General features: G+C 35.5%; 1 protein-coding gene across 2 annotated transcripts in view; it reads right to left on the bottom strand.

Annotated features, from left to right (window-relative positions):
• DIAPH2 (diaphanous related formin 2) overlaps positions 1–21,106 on the bottom strand; it is a 920,156-nt gene that overhangs the window by 522,081 nt on the left and 376,969 nt on the right. For both annotated transcript variants that reach the window (NM_006729.5, NM_007309.4), the window contains exons 18-19: positions 9,875–9,976; positions 7,656–7,750 (exon numbers count right to left, since the gene is read on the bottom strand). In NM_006729.5, the coding sequence (NP_006720.1) occupies positions 7,656–7,750; positions 9,875–9,976 (197 nt within the window). The remainder of the gene's footprint in view (positions 1–7,655; positions 7,751–9,874; positions 9,977–21,106) is intronic.

Raw genomic sequence — 21,106 nt, 5'->3', positions numbered from 1 at the left:
TGAATAGGGAGCTAGCTGGGGGAGGAAATCATGATTGTTCTCTATCTCTCTGATAATTCCATCAAGGACATTATAGCCTTGACTCCTGTACCCTGAATCTCTTAGGCTAAGTGTCTAATGCTTTTTGTCTGGAAGTAGCCTCACAGCTAGTACTTAGAGGAGGGGTTATGGTATAACCTTGCTTTTCATTTCCCAGTTCAGATTTTGGAAGTTTATATAAGGAAAAAGAGGCCACTTACCAAGTTTTACACTTGTTTTTGTTTGTTTGTTTGTTTGTTTGTTTTTGAGATGGAGTCTCGCTCTGTCGCCCAGGCTGGAGTGCAGTGGTGTGATTTTGGCTCACTGCAACCTCCACCTCCCAGGTTCAAGCGATTCTCCTGCCTCAGCCTCCCGAGTAGCTGGTACTATAGGCGTGCGCCCCCACACCTGACTAATTTTTGTATTTTTTTTTTTTTTTTTAGTAGAGTCGGGGTTTCATTACGTTGGTCAGGCTGGTTTCAAACTCCTGACCTCAAGTGATATTCCCTCCTCGGCCTCCCAACGTGCTGGGATTACAAGCATGAGCCACTGCACCTGGCCCCTAGTTTTACACTTATGAGGAAATTCCTGTTCTACCCTGACCATCGTCTAATTTCAATAGACCCAATGGATATAGTATGAAAGAATCAAAATTCTAATGAAGTTCTACCATGGTTTAAAGTGTCCAAGGCAGCATAAAATATGATTTCTGAGATCGCATCTTACTGAACTGTTAGTGAGACTTACGTTTTGCTAAAAATGTAAATAGGCTCAATTTTTTTTTTTTTTTTTTTGAGACAGTCTCTGTCACCCAGGCTGGAGTGCAGTGGCGCGATCTCGGCTCACTGCAAGCTCCGCCTCCCGGGTTTAAGCCATTCTCCTGCCTCACCCTCCCGAGTAGCTGGGACTACAGGTGCCCGGCTGATTTTTTGTATTTTTAGTAGAGACAGGGTTTCACCGTGTTAGCCAGGATGGTCTCAATCTCCTGACTTCGTGATCCGCCCGCCTCAGCCTCCAAAAGTGCTGGGATTACAGGCATGAGCCACCACGCCCGGCCAATTTTTTTTTTCTTTTTTTGGAGATGGAGTTTCCCTCTTGTTGCCCAGGCTGGAGTGTAATGGCACGATCTCGGCTCACTGCAACCTCTGCCTCCTGGGTTCAAGTGATTCTCCCGCCTCAGCCTCCTGAGTAGCTGGGATTACAGGCGTGCACCACCACACCCGGCTAATTTTTGTATTATTAGTAGAGACGGGGTTTCACCATGTTGGCAGGCTGGTCTCAAACTCCTTGACCTCATGTGATCCACCCGCTTCAGCCTCCCAAAGTGCTGGGATTACAGGCGTGAGCCACCATGCCCGGCCATAGGCTCAATTTTTTATATTTTAAAAACATTTTGCACAATCCAATTAGTACAAGAAAAAATTAATTGTTTAAAGCTACCTTTTCTTTCTCTGTGAACAACAACACAGCTGGTGATGGTGACAAATGAAAATACTGGCATTAATCAATAATAGACATAGAGAGAATAAAAATAAGCAGCGATAACATTTGCTTGGAATATGTGTAATTATAATAATAGACTGAAAGTAGCAAACAAGGGTCAAAGGAAACGTCAATAAAAGAAAAAAACAAAAAAAAATTTTTAATCACCTATTTAAGAGCCAAAGATGTGAAAGAAGAGCAGCTTATAGATAAAAGAATTTTCAGACTGCAAAAGCATGCCATAATTATTCCACCATGATGAGAAATAAGAAAGAAATGTTTTATGATTGTTACTGTCATTGCTACTGTTTCATTTTCCCTAAAGAATTATGAAAATGAACATGGTGAATACAAGTTGTTATTTAAGAGAAAAATGTTTTCAAATTCTACAATACTAATGCCATTATAGCCTTAATTGACATACTTGTAGTCTTCTAAAGTCATCAACCCTCGTAAAGTGCACGCACACATGCAGACTCACAAGCCTGCATAAAATACAGATGGTCGATAGCCACGTAAATAGATCAATGATTACAAAGATGGATTGAGGAGACAAAAACGAGCTCTACTATTACACATGCATGAGCTTCCTGACTATAAGAATAATTATACTCTAGAACTGGTTAATTGAGGGAAGTTGAAGAATCTTTTTTCCCTGCAGAATCAATAGATACCCATCTATCTTTGATGACTTAGGTGTAGCATTGCCTGGAATCAGGGGAATGGACTAGATGATCTTCGTGTCATTCTGATTATTCTGTCGGTATCCAATAATAAGTTATATAGATCATATAATCTGTTTTGAGATAAAAATCACATTTGAGAAAACATAATCGTGTAGCAACCTATAAATACCACACATTGAGTACAGTGCTGGTTACTCAAATGGGCTTCAGAAAAGTAAAACAGCCAATATATGTAGAAATTATTGGTGGGGCGGGGGAGGGGGATTGTGGGGGATAGAAGCAAGCTGGCATAGTCCCATGTATGCATCGTAGAGAAACATCTATGGAGGTATTTCTGTAGTTTCCAGGTATGGAGGCATCCAGGAGCTGTATTTCACCTTAGGTATTATTAAGGAAAATTAAGGTCTTTCATCAAAGAAAGAATTTACTTAGGAAGGAAGGAAGAAAAGAAGGGAGGGAGGAGAGGAGGAAGGGAGGGAAGGAAGAAGGGAATGAGGGAGGAAGGGAATGAAAAGAATGTAAGAGAAAGTAGCAGGAAGAGAGGAAAGAAGGAGGGAGGGAGAGAAGGAAGAAAGGAAGGAAGGAAATGTCAAAAACAAAACAAACAAACAAACAAAAAACAATACAAGTGGAAGAAGAACAATAGATAGGACACCAGACAGTTGCATGCCCAGTAGGAATGCAGATGTCCCTTATAAGGGAGACAGAGACCAAAATACCATGAATAAACAGAACAGTTGCTTAAGGAATACAGGTGTCTGGTATATAGTGTAGATTGTTTCAAGAAAAAACTATAGAAAAATAACTATTTAAACTAAATAAGTCATTATAATCTGACATATCGAAGGAAATATCTCTTCTCCCAATCTCATTCTCTTATTCATCACTCCTTAAAAGCCTCTTGTGTTGGCTTTGATGATACACTATAGCATCCTGGCCATCTCTCTGATATGCTGACTCCTTTTGCTCTGATTTCTCTAATAGCTCCCATCCCCTTGACATGTATAGTCCCCAGATATGCAGTCCTTAACTTTCCATTTGTTACTTTTTTCATGAGGAAACTTAAGAACTCCATTGGTCCTGATATTCTAACAATCACTTCTTTGTAAATGACTCCAAAAATCCTTATTTTCAGTCTCAGCCTCTATTCTGACCTCCAATACATTTTCCAATGTAATGTTTTTTGTAAAATTTTTCTCCCTTGCCCTGAAAGTATTTTCTCCCCTACCCGATTTGCCTGTTTGTGTCAGGGCTACAACCACTGTCTCTACCACCAGGATTTTTCAATTAATAATTTTTTTAAAAATTCCTTATTTACCCAAATTCCCTTTTCTCCTACTTCTGAAATATTCAGGGCTTTATTACACCTTATGCTTGAAACTGCAATGATCTCCCTATGTCAAGTCTCTTTACATCAAGCCATCTGATGTACTGCAGCTAAGAGTACCTTTCCTAAGCACACAATTTGACCATGACCAAACTCAATAGCTCAGCATTCATGTTGTCTACCAGGGATCAAAACTTCTGGTGTATATAGGGGTTAGGAATGAGTCAGAGTAAGTAAAATGCAATAGGGAGTGGTGGCACCTGTGGCAAACCGGAGAGTGTGTGACATTAAAATTTCACTGATTAGGCACTAGAAAGGCCAAATAAAACAGAAGTGAGGGAGAGAAAGTGAGAGGTAGAGAGCGTGAATGCCTGTGAGTCACCAATTTGCTATCTGTGTGCCCCTAAAATATGACCACCACCAAGCTACTAATCTTTTATGCGCTCTTTCTCATTGCTACCCTATATGACGGCTTATCTATACCAGAAAAATAAAGACAGTATCCTTTATATACCTCAAGCCTTTGGCCACCATTCTCCTATCCTAGCCCTCTCTAACTGAATCCTACTAGTGTTTCAAAGTCTAGAACACTTCTTCCAGGAAGACTACCTTAACCACAGCCCACCCTACCCTACAGTTCACCTTCTGTGAACCTCTATATCAGGATAAAATAAAATAAATAGGATTATATAAAATACCAATTACATTTAAATAGTTATCAACATATTTACCAAAATAGTGATATAATGATAGAAGTGCTTGATTAAAGCATTAAAAATAATTTCTAGTCGCAGCTCTAATAAGTACTGTAATTTTGAAGCATTAATGACTGTAACAGTATTTTAAGATCTCTGCCACAACTATAATGTGATATGAAAATATTTATTATTTCTATTAGTGAAAAACTTAGAGGTACTGTTAATACTACTTTGGTCTGTTGCCTATACTCTTAAATAATATGCTAAATATTAATTAGAAGATAATGAAAATAAAGATGTAATATTCTTCGCATACAAGTTCAGGACCCCCTGAATTCTCTCCATGGGTCCCCAAAGAGGGCTTTGAACTCCAGGTTACCAACCTATGCTTTATCATATCTTTACAAATTATTCTGCAGTAATAATACACTATCTTTTATGTTGATCATCTTTTTTTCACATATTCCTTAAGAATATAAGTATAAACTCCCTACCTAGAATCATTTGCATGCACTAAGGATCTCAAATAGAACATACTTTTATTTTTCCCTTCACACATGCATCACTTTTTTCAAACCGCTCGTTTCATTACTCTGTCAATGCTCTATATGTGTGTCTATACATATTTCTGTTTTACCACTGATATCCTAAAAAGCACTGACTGATTGGTCTTAGATTTTTCTCTCAATAGATCAAATTCAATTATACTGAAACAAATTTTGAAGGCTAGAATAATGATTCTAAAAGTCACCAAAATTTAGTACACATTATTTGACAGTAACTCATAATTACATGTATTAAAAACTCCTCAACAACCTCAGGATATGGTGTACTTTTAAATGTTTCTACGTGCTACTGCAAGTATTTTAGGCCATTTCAATTTTTCCCACATAGAGAACTCATTTTCTAGCTTAAATTTAGATATTTTGAAATAAAATGAAAATTGATATTTATTAATAAGCTTCAACTTAGAGCTGGATCTTGCTGATTAAATAAAAGTTTTTCTGTTTTTTGTTTTTTGTTTTTTAAGTAAGACAATTATCCTGCCAACTAACTAAATTCTATCAGTTGTCTGCCCAGCAAGAGCCTATTGACCCATACTGGAAGAGAAAATACTACTACTGTTAATTCAAGTTCTGGGAAGTGATGTATCCTTAATTGTTGTTTGTTGTTTTTGTTGCTATGAGGAGACAACCATGCTACATGAGCAAAAAACAATAATTATGCATGGATGGAGTTTAGCACTGTAATCAAATAGAACTTACAACAAAGTTAATCTGATGATACACATTTAATGCCATGCATTATCGATGTGCTACATGGTAATTAGACATAAATGGTAAACAGCTCAAATGAATGGCAAATTGATGTTACTTTTCCATCACTGAAACAAATGTTCTGGAATTGGGGGTAGAAAAAGGTGCTAGTGATTATAGTCTTTTCTCCTGACAGAGGGAAGTCATCTCTCTTGGGGACTAGAAAATCATGTAATTATTTCTACCCAGGAGCATCCATCCTCCTTACCAGAAGATACTCAGACATTTGATTTGTCTAGATAAAAGCAATACTAACCTTAATAACTCAGGTAAGTTACTCGCCACTTAGGCCCTACACCCGTACCCAAGTAGCACAATTCCAATTATGTACATTATACTACATGTTAAACTGTTTTCTTCCCACAAGCAAAACTAAGAAAATGGGTTTTGATCAAACAGGGTAAGGATTGAGAAGAAACTTCAGAGTATCTGGTACTGAGAAGGAAAGCAAGTTGGCTTTAAAAAAGTCCTCAGCAAACAGAAGGCACAAAATTGGTGGGTAAAGCAGGATATGGGTAAAATATACAGATACATGAAAAAGATAAAGAGATAAAGGCTTAGAAAAGGGAATGGAGGTCTAAAAACAAGGAAGAGATGACATAGGTCATCTTATTACACCTGAGTCCTATTTTTAAAAATCACGCCTAGATTTAAGACATATATATGAGGTAAACTTTAATGTAAGCCTACAATCCAAAATAGAAGAGCTTCCACAGAGACATCACTTGCTCAAATTATATATGCAGGTTCTCTGAGATTTAGAGTTTGCAGGGAATATGGCAAAATTGTTAAAGTTATAGCATAAGCTATTTAACTATTTGATGTTTTTGTTTTGTTTTGTTTTGTTTCATTTTTTTTTGAGACAGAGTCTCGCTCTGTCTCCAGGCTAGAGTGCAGTGGCATGGGCTCGGCTGAGTGCATTCTCCACCTCCCAGGTTCAAGTGATTCTCCTGCCTCAGCCTCCTGAGTAGCTGGGATTACAGATGCGCACCACCACACTCAGCTAATTTTTCTGTATTTTGAGTAGAGACGGGGTTTCACCATGTTGGCCAGGATGGCCTCGATCTCCTGACCTCGTGATCTGCCTGCCTCAGCCTCCCACAGTGTTGGGATTACAGGCGTGAGTCACCATGCCTGGCCCTATTTGATGTTTTCTAAAACTCAAAACCAACTCATGGCTCAAAAACAAAAAACAACAAAATAAAGAAAAACAGAAAAAACTACAATGACTATACCCTTCCACAGAAATCTTTACAGTTATTCCTTTCAAAAATTAAACCAGACAGGGCCAGACATACCAAGAATTCAAATAATGTGTCAGCTCTGTATAGTCCTTTATCATACAAAGCACTTTATTTGGTTAAAACCTCACAATGACCCTGTAATTTCAAATGAGAAAATAGAGGTTTAGAAAGATTAAACAGTTTGTTCATGGAAAGCAGAATAATATAACAGCTTTAGAGTCAAGACAGACATTGTTTTGAATCCTAGTTCTGGTACTTTGCAACTTACACCACTTACAAGCTTTGTGAAATTGGGCAATCTCTCTAAACCTCAGTTTCCTTATTTGTAAAATGAGAATAATAGTGCTTATCTCATAGGATTACTGTAGGATTCAATGAAATAAAAAATACAGAAAGTGCTAGCCATAATCAGCAATACATGTTATGTACCCAAACAGAGTTGGGTAAAAGTTAGATACTCAACTTAACAATGGGTATGTTAAATACCCACTAATTTTCAGCAAGCTATTTAACCTCTTGACCCCTCAGGTTTTTCACCCATAAAATGGTAAGAACAATATACACTTAATGCAGCCATTTTGGTGATGAAGTACATGTAATTGTATGTACAGTGAATAATGGACAATGATATGTCTATATATGCATATGCTTATACTGAAACGGATATATAGCTTATAAGTGGCAGAAACAGAATTAGAACCTAGATTTTCTATACTGAGTCCCCTTACTATCAACACAGCTAGATATTCCTGATTTTATTAAACTATTCAATGTCTTTTTAAAAATCTAATTATAGAAGAGAATTTTCTTACAACTCCATTGAGAAGAGAATAGTCCAAAAAAATCTGTGAAAATGAATTTCAAAAGGAAAATATCCAAGTTACCTGAATTAAAGCCTCACTCAGCATGTCTTCATTAACCTCCAGAATAACGTTTCTTATGTCTTCATATGGCATGCGATATGATCCCAGAAAGATGGCTAAAATAAAATTTGATTTTATTAAAAGTATAACAGCATCAACATGTTAAAGTCCTAATAAACGTCTGATTTTCATTTCATAGACTCAAAATATGAAATTTGTCACTAATATACAGAATTATGAACAAACAAAAGTTGTTCCATTTGATGGACTACTCACTCTATCCATCTAGACAAAATGGCATATTTTCTCGGGCTGTAATGTTTATAGCTAGTGCATATTTACACACAAAATAAAATTCCTACTAATAGCATTCATGACTACATGCTTATGCCTTTTAGATTAGGATGATAACACAAAATGACCCATGAAAACTTAAGAGATTTTATTTCAAGTTGACCTTTTTATTCAATGAAGAACTTAGTGTGGAGATTGTCAGATGCACCCAACACAGTATTTCTCAGGAAAGACAATAAAATAACCAAATAAAAAATCATATCCATCTACTCTGCAATTCTCCCACATAAGAAAAAAATTAAAGTGCCTAAATCATCAGTGTGCTCTGCATTCCTGCTTATATTCCTGTGGTACACTATTACTTACTTTATATATTGACTCACAATTTCCCCTGCCAACTTTTTCTTAAATGGAAATCTATGATATCATATTGGAATAATTCAGCAAATTAAACCTAGAATAGCTAACAATTATTCAGAAGGTACTTGCAACAACATGTTCCATTAAACATATTTTTTAAAGAACACAGATGTGTTCTTATCACCAGAACTTGAACATTTCTTTTTTCTTTTTTTTCTTTTTTTGAGACAGTTTCGTTCTTGTTGCCCAGTCTGTAGTGCAATGGTGCGATCTCGGCTCACTGCAAACTTTGCCTCCCGGGTTCAAGAAATTCTCGTGCCTCAGCCTCCCAAGTAGCTGGGATTACAGGCATGAGCCATCACGCCCGGCTAATTTTGTATTTTTAGTAGAGGCGGGGTTTCACCATGTTGTCCAGGCTGGTCTTGAATTCCTGACCTCAGGTGATCCACCTGCCTCGGCCTCCCAAAGTGCTGAGATTATAGGCGTGAGCCACCGCGCCCGGCACGCAGAACTTGAACACTTCTAAGAATTTTGTTTTCTTTTTTTCATGAAAAGGTCTATATGCCTTCAGCCATACCAAAAGAAAACAAAATCCTCACTCTATAGACAAATGATTACCTTATACATAAGACCAAATGAGATCTCCACAATCTAAAAGAATAATGTTGACAGAAATCAACCAGCAATTGAGATCCTACTGTGTTTTAAAGAAAAGTACTGAACGTCAACTTTGAAAATGTACTATCAAATAAGCAATGTACACATTCACAACAGCTACTGATAAACTGCTTCTCTGAAAGCAACATTTCTACTGACATGAGAATGATGTTTTGTTTATTGTAATGATTCCCTATACCACATTCCTTAACAAAATAAGCTCCCATGGTATTACTTTGTGCAATTAGACATGCTTGATGTGTGGAAATCTCTGATGCATAGTGTTTTTGTATCAGCAAAATCTAAACACAGTCTACTGTAGTGACAGACCAAAAATTCTGATTTCAAGACAGAGGGAAGAGTATGTTAAAACTTAAAGGCTTACATAAATGAAGATGGGTTTAACTGTCCATCTGCTTTAGAAAAGGTATACTTAATGGCTGACTGGTTTGTTAAAGGCTTCAAGATTCACTAACCAGTTTTTAAATGCAGTTAAGGTTAACAATTTAAGTAGCTCACATCGCAATTACTTCAGACATAAAGGAATAGCAGTAGAAGGATTTTTCCAATGTAACTAGTGAATACTCTAAAACTATCAATCCCAGGTCTAGAGAGAAGGAAAAAAAAATCACTTTTTGTCAATTCTGCCTTATGTTTCACTATGTCCTCCAACAGTGTTTTATTATCATTACTTTCCAAATCTTTACTATTCCCAAGTTTCATCTGGCCTGACAGAGGTTGAATTAGAATTTTCTCCTTACTGGCTAAGTGACAAAAAGGCAACCAAATCATGTTTACACAGGATTTTGTTTCTAGAAGATGCTAAATATGCCTGTTTAAAAAGGTTACAACTTTCATTAAATACATTAAACAGCTCCCACCCCTCTCACCGTTACCTATACCAATCCTACGAAGAAAATATTACATACACAGATTCTGAGCTGTTTTGGGATCCAAAATTCTCAGTTCTTTCACTTTCTTCTTTGTAGGCCCAGTCTTCTTTTCTTCTAATGCTTCTGCGTTCTTTTGAACTGAAAGAAAAAATGTTGATTCATAAACAATAAGGGTACTAATCCAAGTACACGGAATAACATTAGTAAGGCATATTAACTACATTAATAAAGCTCATTCTGAAATCAATAAATGTGTTGATTTCATTAGCTCAAGGAAGAGGATAAACATAAAAATACAGAGTTGTTTAGAGTTTTCACTACAAATTAAATATCAGCACTTAAGCAGAAAAGATAAGCCAAATGAACCAAAAATCAATTGCTCCTTCTTACCTAATACGCAACATTAATTACTCCTTTACCAGGTACCTACAGCAGTACTGGAATTAAATATATAGTACAACCTCACTAATCTGAACTAATTGAGGGAAAAGGAAGACATGCATTTCTCTCAAAATATGCTAAAATTTAAACAATTCAGTGAAATTGCTTTAAAGCACCTAAGGTAAGTTTAACTGCTAAACAGGTTGCCATATACAAATTCCTGCTGAGACTGTTTTGAAGAATAGTTATGAACCATTTGCAATTTGTACAACAGTAGCACCATTTGCATACATGTAATTAAACAGACTCAGCAATGTGTTCTTTTGAGTAATTTAGCTTTGTATCCCTCGCTATTTGAAAAATACTATTTGCTTCCTTAGAACAGAAGATTTACTTTGCTTTCTTTAGAAGGTAACAGTATAATTAAAAACAGTTTAAAGGACTGAAAGGGTAAGGAGTAGCAGTGCCAAGGAGTGGCTTTAGCCTTCCATAACCTCCATCAGCCAACTCCCCAAGTAGGCCGGCCCAAAAAACAATGTGGCTGTCTGCTATGAAAATAAAGCATTAAGTTAAATCCCCAAACCCCTCCGGTATAGAAATTTTACAGCTACCATTGTACTCAAGTGTTGGCAGTTTACCTTTTCCAATATAAAAACAGGGTTGTAAGTAATGGGGCCATCAGAAAATATAAGAAAAGTAAAGCTAGTACTTTTTCAGTCAAGTAGAGTGTTAGGTCCTTGCCCCCAAATTCATGCTGCTAAATTACATCACTGGTTCATATATGACCATAATCATGCTGCTGCTTTATCAATGTTAAAAAGATAACTTCATTTTGAGGCAATAATGATATTATTTTAATTCACCTAATCTTTGTTAAAAAGACCACAAATGCATTATTGATTTTCTTTTTTAGAGAAAAAGCAACATAAAACCACAGTACACTTTTACTTAGGCAATATGTTCATAGATGTTACCATCTTGGAAGCAACATTCTACAGAATTCATCAAAATACTGGAAGTCCGTTAAGACTTCCTTTGTTTTAATGGTACAAAATACAGAAAAATTAAATGAGCATGCTACAGAAATACCAGATATTAATAAAATAAATTACCTGGATAACTAAACTCCTAACAGTGCTAAATTTTACCAGACTGGCCAATCTAAAGTTATGTGCAGTCTAAGGAGAATGGATAATTATACTTAGAAATTATGATCTTATGAGACATGGCAAGCAGTTTGCCATGTGGATTCAACATAATAGTCACTGCTACTACTGGAAGAAAAGTGACTTTTAATGTATTTCTCTTAAAATATATTAAAAGAATATATTTTATGTTGATATTTATCTGTATATATTTCCAAATATGTTTTAAAATACATTAAAACATATCTCAAATATTCTTCAAAGGATCTTTCTAAGAGCATAGAGTCTTTCATATGCAATAATCAACATTTTAATTTATTCTAATTGTCAAGCCAGTTCCAGCTTAAGACAATTGTATACAAGAAAATGACAGTCCAATAGTCATTCCCTTTGTCTATAAAATGTGAAATATCTGAATCATATTGAAATTACTTCTAGAATCATTCACTAATTTGAACCCAGTCAAGGAAATAGTCAAGAAAATTTTCCTAATATCTCAATATGCCTTAAAATTCACTATGGGAGACTAATTAGCCAAGTACATATAAGAAAAACATGTTGTGCCATGAAGGACCTATAAAGATGGTTCTGCAAACTAACAGGATCCTGACTAACCCAGGAATAGATAATGCTCATTTAATGACTTTATATTTTTGCATTTTTTAATTAAAATATGGTCTAGCCTCTCCCCTTTTCAAGTGAACAAATTGTTTAAAATTAAGATTAGATGCCCTAAATATCTATAGTTCATAGTTTTCTTTCTTGAATCTCAACATATTTTCCTTGTGTTATATAACTTGGCTTAAATCCTGGGTTCGAAAAGTGATAAGAGTTCCATGAGTGGGCACTGCTTTTCTGAGAATCACTAGAGAAAAACAAGTTTAGAACAGTTCTCTAACTAGACAGGCTTTCAGAACTAATCATATTTTTGCCATGATAAATAATTACAGACCAGTGGCTATTATTGCCTTTGGCCTTCTTGTTTTAAAAGCATTCCTTAGGGATCATGACCACAGGCTTAGATAAATAGAGAATTCAAAGAACAGCAATGAGACATCAAATATCCCTATAGTGTTCAACACATCATATGTTAAAAATTGCCTGCTTTCATAGTGACCTCAAAATGTCACTTATCCTAGGATACTTTTATTCTGTATGTTTCTAATGGTTACAAAACATTAAATAAATAGCAATTCTATAATTATTTGAAGTTACTTGGATGAAACTAAAAAGTTTTTTTAAGTTTTGATACAAAAACTTCATGAATTGATTTTATCATCAATTGCCCTATGGTCCTCAGGTTCATAATGAGGCCCACAGTCAAACGAGACCTTCCCCGTACAAATGAAAAAACATATTGCAAATGGGTTTGAATCCAATATATTGAATTAATTTGAGTGTGTAAATTGGCACTGCTAATAGAATAATAATGAAACATTATAAAATACTGTCTGTAGGAAGATAATCCTAATAATGAAGACATTTATATTATTATTAAAGATATGTTAACATCAAGATACTCATTATCTAAGATAAAATGCCCACTGAGTATTCTTATATTTCCTTTAATACATGGATTTTTACAAGCAATTGTACTATAAATGTATTCCTTTACAACTGAGAAATGCTCATCAGCATAAATAAAGTAAACATGGTTATATTCTTTCCCCAATTTAATATAGGCAATGTTCAGGAATCTCCTATTAATTTCTGATATCCCAGTGGATACACAGAACATGTGACAAGTTATTATAATTTGTAGCAAGTATTAAGATATTTTAAATAGGCAACATTGCATGATTTACATAGTGATAACTAACCATGAATCACAGTAAAATTTGTATAACTACTTTATCTTAAAATTTCAGTGAGAAAGACTGATTTCTATGGCCAGAATCACATTCATTAATCTACCAAATATTTCTTGAGCACCTACTATGAATTAGCTTAGCATGAGCATACAATGGTACACAACACATAAATATCTACTCATACTGCATGGTCATATGTAAACCACTAATTATGGAAGTATCCCCAAAAGGTACCTAACATTTATAATTTTCTTTATAAATGTTATAAAGAATCCATAAAATATATAGCTTAGGTACCATAAAATATCCACAAAATATAGCTTAGATGAATACATGTATACCACTCAGTAAATTCTCATTTTCTTAGTGCAAGCATAGTTCTATATAGGGAACATCATACCTTTGAATCAGCATCACATTATGTGTTGCATCATATTATAAGAAATATGAGGAGAATTAAAAGGATGTCCCTTCCTATTAAGTACACTACATACAGGCTGGGTGTAATCTCAACACTTTGGGAGGCTGAGGCGGGCAGATCACCTGACGTCAGGAGTTCGAGACCAGCCTGGCCAATATGGTGAAATCCTGTCTCTACTAAAAAATACAAAATTAGCCGGGCGTGGTGGTGGGCGCCTGTAATCCCAGCTACTCAGGAGGCTGAGGCAGGAGAATCACTTGAACCCGGGAGGCGGAGGTTGCAGTGTGCCAAGATTGCGCCACTGCATTCCAGCCTGGACAACAAGAGAGAAACTCCGTCTCAGGAAAACAAACTAACAAAAAAGTACACTATATACAAAGCCAGGGTAAATAAAGCTAATAATAGTAGTGTCAACAAACACACTGAAAATTTATGTAACTTCATGCATACATATTTGTATATTTATGTAACTTCACGCATACATATTTGTATATTTAACAAGTAAATGCCAATTGTTCTTTTACATATAACATACAAATATAAGAATTGTGATCCATATATACTTAAATACATATTTTATCCATGTGGATACAATTCCAGAGGTGATTCCAGCTACATGGAAATAATTTTTTAACATATTGGTTGAAATATACAATATTTTAATTTCAATTAATGACTTGATAATATTAAAATGAGTGCAAGAATGGCAATGAAAGGTACGGGAAATCTACTCTGGTTTTTGCATGTGACAGGTTTAATGATTTTTTTTGTTATTTTCTACTGTATTCTGAATCACCTTTATCTATGCATTTCTGGAAATATCACATGAACCTGATGGAAAAAAAGGGCAAAGAAGATTAGATCAATAGATAAATACATATGCAATACACAACAGATGAGAGTATTAAAAAACAAAAATAACAGCAGTAGTAGTAGTTTTACTACTGGTAACCACCAATACAATCTTCACAAGCACCACAAAAATCAAATTTTTATTACATATCTGCTCTGTATCTGGCATTAATTTTTATACCACTTTATATGATAGGTATTAACCACTGTCATTTTACAAATGAGGAAATCAAGGACAAACTTGATCATATGCCCAAGGTCATATAGCTAGTAATGAAAACATGCTCAACTTCACTAGTGATCAGGGAAATGCAAATGAAAATAACTGAAGAAATACCATTAACAGTCATCAAATTGAAAAATTTTTTAAGTCTCACAATACCAAGTATTGATGAAGATACGAAGAAGAATTTGATTATGCCAATGGTTGACAGTAAATATTCAGCAATGACTTAAAAAACGCATGCATCAACATCTAATATATTTGAAGGTATGCTTGTCATAAACATAGCCCAACATTTCTGCTTGTAGGTCAAGTGGTCAAGGAGACAAAAATGTTCACTTCAACAGTGTTTATAACAGTAGAAAAGTTATAAACAGCCCATGTGCCCAGGGGTTATGAAATGGATAAATTGTGGCATATTAATACAATGTAATATCACACAGCATTTACAGTGATTGTATTACAGCTATATATTTCAACAAGGATTGATGCCAAATACAATGCTGAGTGGAAAAATTAAAGCTATGGAAAATGGTACATGCAGTATAATTTTCATCTAAATTAAAAATAAAACGGAGACTAATCTTGCGTATTGTTGATGGATGAGTATATATGTAGCAAAATTATAAAAACATAGACTAGATATTCACCAGTTAATGACAGTGGTTGCCTAAGAGGAGGAATCTAATGCTGGAATAGGTAGAACCTTGGAAACTTCCATTTTAACTTTAATGTTTTATTTCCTTAAAAGCAAAGACCTGGAGTAAATATGACTAAATGTTAACATGTGTTCATTTTGGGTGGCTGGTAGATGGGCGTTTGCTAAATTAGCCTTTGTAATTTCCTATTTTTTGACATAAAAATAAAAATCATATGAATAAATCTCACAAACATTCCTATCCATTTTTATAGTTTACAAACTGTTAACCTTGGAAATCCCAAGGGCCAAGTGTAGACAGGAATTACAAACAATATGGAAAAGAATAATTAAAAATGCTGGTAAAGATGAATCTGTTTGTAAGGAACCACTATTTTGTGTTCAATTGTTATCGAGTCTGTTTTGTGAGGAATAACACATGTGTTCACCAAACCTTAGGAGGGAAAGCTGATGCAATAGGCAGGAAGAGATTCCATTTCTGTCTCCTTGCACATGCTACATATTACAGCTGCGAAGCTTCCCCTCTCCATGTTGCCTACAGCTGCACACTAACCAAGGCATCCCACAGAAAGGTAGATTTCATTCTGACACCTGCATAGTACCTGAAGCAATAGGAATGGCATTACTAAGAATGTTTCTGAAGTTCAGAGCACATTAAACAAGACTAATGGTTGTAATGGTAGGGATAACACAGACATACTTTGTAGTGATTTCCTAATTAAGGAACAAATCTTACTGGTTGTAGTTTATACAAGAACACCCCAAATCAGGAAGCACATGTTACTGCAAATTAACATCTGCATAACTAATATACTTGCACACCTGTTCATTAAGCCAATTACTGAACACTGCTAAATGTCACCAGAACATTATGTTTAACAGCGTGCATAGCTAATGTTGTGTATTTTCAAATGGGCCTCAATAACTCAGCAGGTAATGCATATTTTAGGAAGGACAAATAAAGTTGTCTTAGAGGTTTTAGGGAAGAATTTCCCTTGTTTGAAGTGGTAACTTAAATACCAAAACTGAAGTATGGTCTTTACCTCAAAGTAGTACACTTACATCTTGTTTAATGATGTGGATACATTCTGAGAAGTTCTTCTTTAGATGATTTTGTCATTATGCGAACATTATACGGTTCACTTACACAAACCTACATGGTATAGCCTACTTCACAGGTTAGTAGCCTATTGCTCCTAGGCTACAAACCTGTACAGCATGTTACTGTACTGAATATTGTAGGCAATTGTAACAAAATGGTATTTGTATATCTAAACATATTTAAACATAGAAATGGTACAGTAAAATTATGATATAAAAGATAAAAAATGGTTTAGCTGCATACAGCACTTAGCATGAAGGTAGCTTACAAAACTGGACAGTACTCTGGGTGAGTCAGTGAGTAAGTGGTGAATGAATGTGAAGGCCTAAGACATTACTGTACACCACTATAGACATAGGCTGTACACATAGGCTACACCAAATTCACAGAAATGTTCTTTCTTCAATAATAACTTAAACTTAGCTTATAGTAATTATAAACTTTTTGTTTTTTTTAAACTTTTGACTCTTGTAATCACACTTAAAATACAAACACATTGCAAAGCTGTACAAAAATATTTTCTCTATATCCTTATTCTGTAAGCGTTTTCCTGTTTCAACTTTTTTAAAATTTTTACTTTTTAAACCTTTCTGTTAAAAACTAAGACACAAACACACACATTAGCCTAGGCCTGTACAGGGTCAAGATCATCAATATCACTGTCGTCCACCTCTACATCTTGTCCCACTGGAAGGTCTTCAAGGGGCAATAACACACATGGAGCTGTCACCTCCTATGATAACAATGACTTCTTTTGGAATACCATGTGAAAGACCTGCCTGAGGCTGTTTTACTGTTAACTTTTTTTTTTTTTAACAAGAGTACACTCTAAAATAACAATGAAAAATACGGTAAATACATAAACCAGTAACATGGTTGTTTATTATTACCAAGTATTATGTACTGTACACAATTGTACGTGCTATACTTATATATTACTGGCAGCACAGTATGTTTGCAACAACATCACCACAAACATGTGAGTAATGCATTGCACTAGAATGTTACAATGGCTACATGTCACTAGGCAGTTGGGATTTTTCAGCTCCATTATAATCTTATGGAATCATCATCATATAAGCGGTCCATTGTTGACCAAAACATCGTTTTGTGGTACATGACTATATTTGACAAATGAGGTTGTCAAGGTGGTTTCCTGTTAACCTTTAACCTATATGAATTACCTTATTCAAGCTCAAGTCAGTCACTTTACCCACTGGTTGTCTCTGGCTTTCTAAGTACGAACTGACATTTTTCTGGCTATCCCATTTATTCAGAGAACTTCCTGTTATTTTAAATGTCAGAATTCCTGTCACGAATCAGTGAGTCCAGCAATCAACTCCAAGAGCTAAGTGCATCAAACAAAGTACTAAGAAAGGCATATCTGTAGGAATTGCGATGCTACAAAAACCAGTATCACTAGGCCAATAGGACAATTCTTGTTGAGAATACAGTCTGGGCATTCATCACACACAGGCTTTTCTGATTTGATATGGTCCATCTCAGCTTGGTGCAGATCCTACACACAATTCAGTTTAATGCTACGTACATTAACCTTGCTGAGTAAGACTCAACAAAGTAACACCCTGAAATATTTGTAGCCATAATCTCAAATTGACAATGTAGGACTTTTCAGACTAGGAGACTCACAGTTGCCTCCTACATATTATTACTAAATAATTTGAGATAAAAAACTTCCGTGGAGATGCTGAGCATAACCCCGCACTTTAATATTCCTCATAGAGTTCTTCCTTGTGGCCCTAATCAAAGTGTTTTGCTGTGCCTTCCTGAATATTAACTCAAAGCTGTGGTTTCTTCTCATTATACATGGCTTGGTATCCTTATTTGCCTGAAATATAATTCTGAATTTGATGGTTGGTGATTGCTGCAGGAGGTGCTGGGTGTTATTAATTTTTTATGGTTGCAGGGGAAGATAAAGACTAGAGACGAGAGATGGAACAATGGTGTTGAGGGGGGTGGGGTATGTGTTCCATACTTATCTAGTCCAGCCATATAACTTATGTACAAAGAACTGGAGTGAGAGGGTTGGAGATTATGTCAGGAATCCAAGGGCTCAGAGGAGTTGCCAGATGAAAAAAAATGGTTGTGTAGAGTGGAGCTATATGCTCACAGAAGGCATAGGCAAGAGGAAGAATCCAAAGCCAAAGAACATTAGCTGATTAGTTTCTGATCACCTCCATTCCCAAAGACTCCCAGAATCAACCAGGAGAGTCTTTGAAAAGCAGTTGAGACAAATTTTAGATATCATGTAAGTAGGGATTCAGGACTTTGAAAATGTGGGTATTAAAAATGTATTCGTCAGGTTTGAAGTATAGGAAATTTAGATTATTTATACCATGTGCTGATGACACCTGCTTCATAGGAATGTTGTGAGAAAGAAATGGCACATACATGTAAAAGCTCCAGTAACATAAAGAAGGTCAGCGAACTTTTTCTATAAGGCTAGATAGTGAATATTTCAGGCTTTGCAAGTTATACCATGTTTGTTGCAACAACTCAACTCTGCTATTGTATTGTGAAGGCAGCCAGAAACACTAAGTAAACAAATAAGGATGGAAGTGTTCCAATAACATCTTGTTTACAAAAATAGTTGGTCAGCTAGATTTGGCCTGCAGACCATAGTTTCCAAACCCCTGACATAACAAGATGTTCAATAAATGTCTGATTCCTTATCCCCTTCCTTCTGCAACTGAGGTCAATTTATACTTGCTTCCACTTTTGCAAATATGAGAAAATGTTCAACACTACCCCTGCAAATTAGGATCTAGAAGCTCCTTGCTATAATTGTTGACATTCTGTTTTTCAAGTAGGATACACATAATCAAACACATTTATACTCCTCATGGTTTTTGAATGTGTCATTCCTACAGGGATCAATTATCTCATCAAAAACTGTAACTGTCCTTTATTTTATTCCCCATATAGTCTCACATACGTTTTCATGTAAAATGACTGAAAACGCAGCTCAACTTTAATAAAATTAAAAAATTAGTTTCTACCATCCCATCCTTATTGGGGTTGAATGAGAGCTCATAAGCAGCTACAGTGTTCGGTAATGTTTCACTTGGGACATACTGGTTTATAATAAAATGAAGAGCAAGTTCTGTAAAAACAAACACACACACATAAATCAGACTTTTGTATTTCATATAATACAGTTCTTATTCTATGCACATAAAAATATTACTGAGTCTCTCAATTTGTTTGTTGCTGGCTGAGCTCAATGGGAAACATCAAGTTAGACTGTCCCTGTTTTCCCCATTTGGATTCCAACTGGTTTCAATTTTATCTTTCAGCAGTAATTTTCTTTAGTTCAGAAACCACATCAGTGTATACTGTTGCAGGTGATCAAAACATTAGAATAATTCTGAGAAGAGTAAGATAGGGAGGACCTGAAGATTTCATTTCCTTCTTTTTTTTTTTTTTTTTTTGAGACAGAGTTTCCCTCTATTGCTCAGGCTGGAGAGGAGTGGCATGATCTCAGCTCACTGCAACCCCTGCCTCCCAGGTTCAAGCCATTCTCCTGCCTCAGCCTCCCGAGTAGCTGGGATTACAGGCGCCTGCCACCATGCCTGGCTATTTTTTTTCATTTTTGGTAGAGACTGGGTTTCACCATGTTGGCCAGGCTGGTCTCGAACTCCTGACCTCAAGTAATCCACCCACCTCAGCCTCCCAAAGTGCTGGGATTACAGGCATGAGCCACCACACCTGGCTCCTTGTTTCTTTTTTTAAGTCAAGTTTAGTCTGTTGGTGACATTCTATTTGAAAGCAGAAAAGTAATATTTGAGACCATTTTGGAAATGTAAAAAGACATACGAGAATAAAATTCAAATAAGCTTTAAGTTCTCTTGTTTCCTGAACAGACTCACTACCCTCTTCCTCCTCAATCTATTATCCTGTTATACTACCAAGCATCTCAGAAGAATGCCTGACACCATCTCCCTGTCCTTCCCTCCTATTCTCTCATTTACTTGTGATCTGAATTCTAACACACTCATACCTACTGAATTAGCATGCTGAAATCTCTGCAGGTAGGGCCTCAGGACCTGTACCTCTTAAGAGCTCCTCAGGTAATTCCAAATATTAGCAAGGTTTAGAAAATCTGCTCTGTAGTACATAACACAACACTCTATAATAGCTCAATAAATACTTCCCAAATAGAAAAGTGCAAATATTGTTAACAGTAACCCATGAAAGCCCTCTTTATAATATCTTCCAAATCTTGGAATCTAACACTGAAGGCAATACTTGGTCAACCATTGGTCTCATAGGAATGACAAATAATGAGATTTTATGAAAGAACAAAGGATCCTCAAGGTACACTCCGTTAATTTTTAAATCAATTACAAACTAGATATATCATTGAGGGCAAGGATCTTGCACATATTTGTAAAATCTATCACTGTGCTAGGGATATATAAGTTCTTAGAATAAGTTAGAATAAGAATGCATAAAATGCATTAATTAAAACTATTTATGTAAATAATAAATACTAAAATGAATATAAGATACCACTGCCTCTCTCCCCTTTTATAGGTACAGGTGTCACAGGGGTAGAGAAGACGGGAAAAGAAAAAATAATAATAATCTGCTGTTGAAAAGGAAATCAAAAGCAGTTAAAAATGAGCGTTTTTTTTTTTTTTTTTTTTTTGAG

The sequence above is a fragment of the Homo sapiens genome, chromosome X (assembly GCF_000001405.40).
Source record: "Homo sapiens chromosome X, GRCh38.p14 Primary Assembly".
NCBI classification, from domain to species: Eukaryota; Metazoa; Chordata; class Mammalia; order Primates; family Hominidae; genus Homo; species Homo sapiens.
This window is presented reverse-complemented; position numbering and strand designations above follow the sequence as displayed.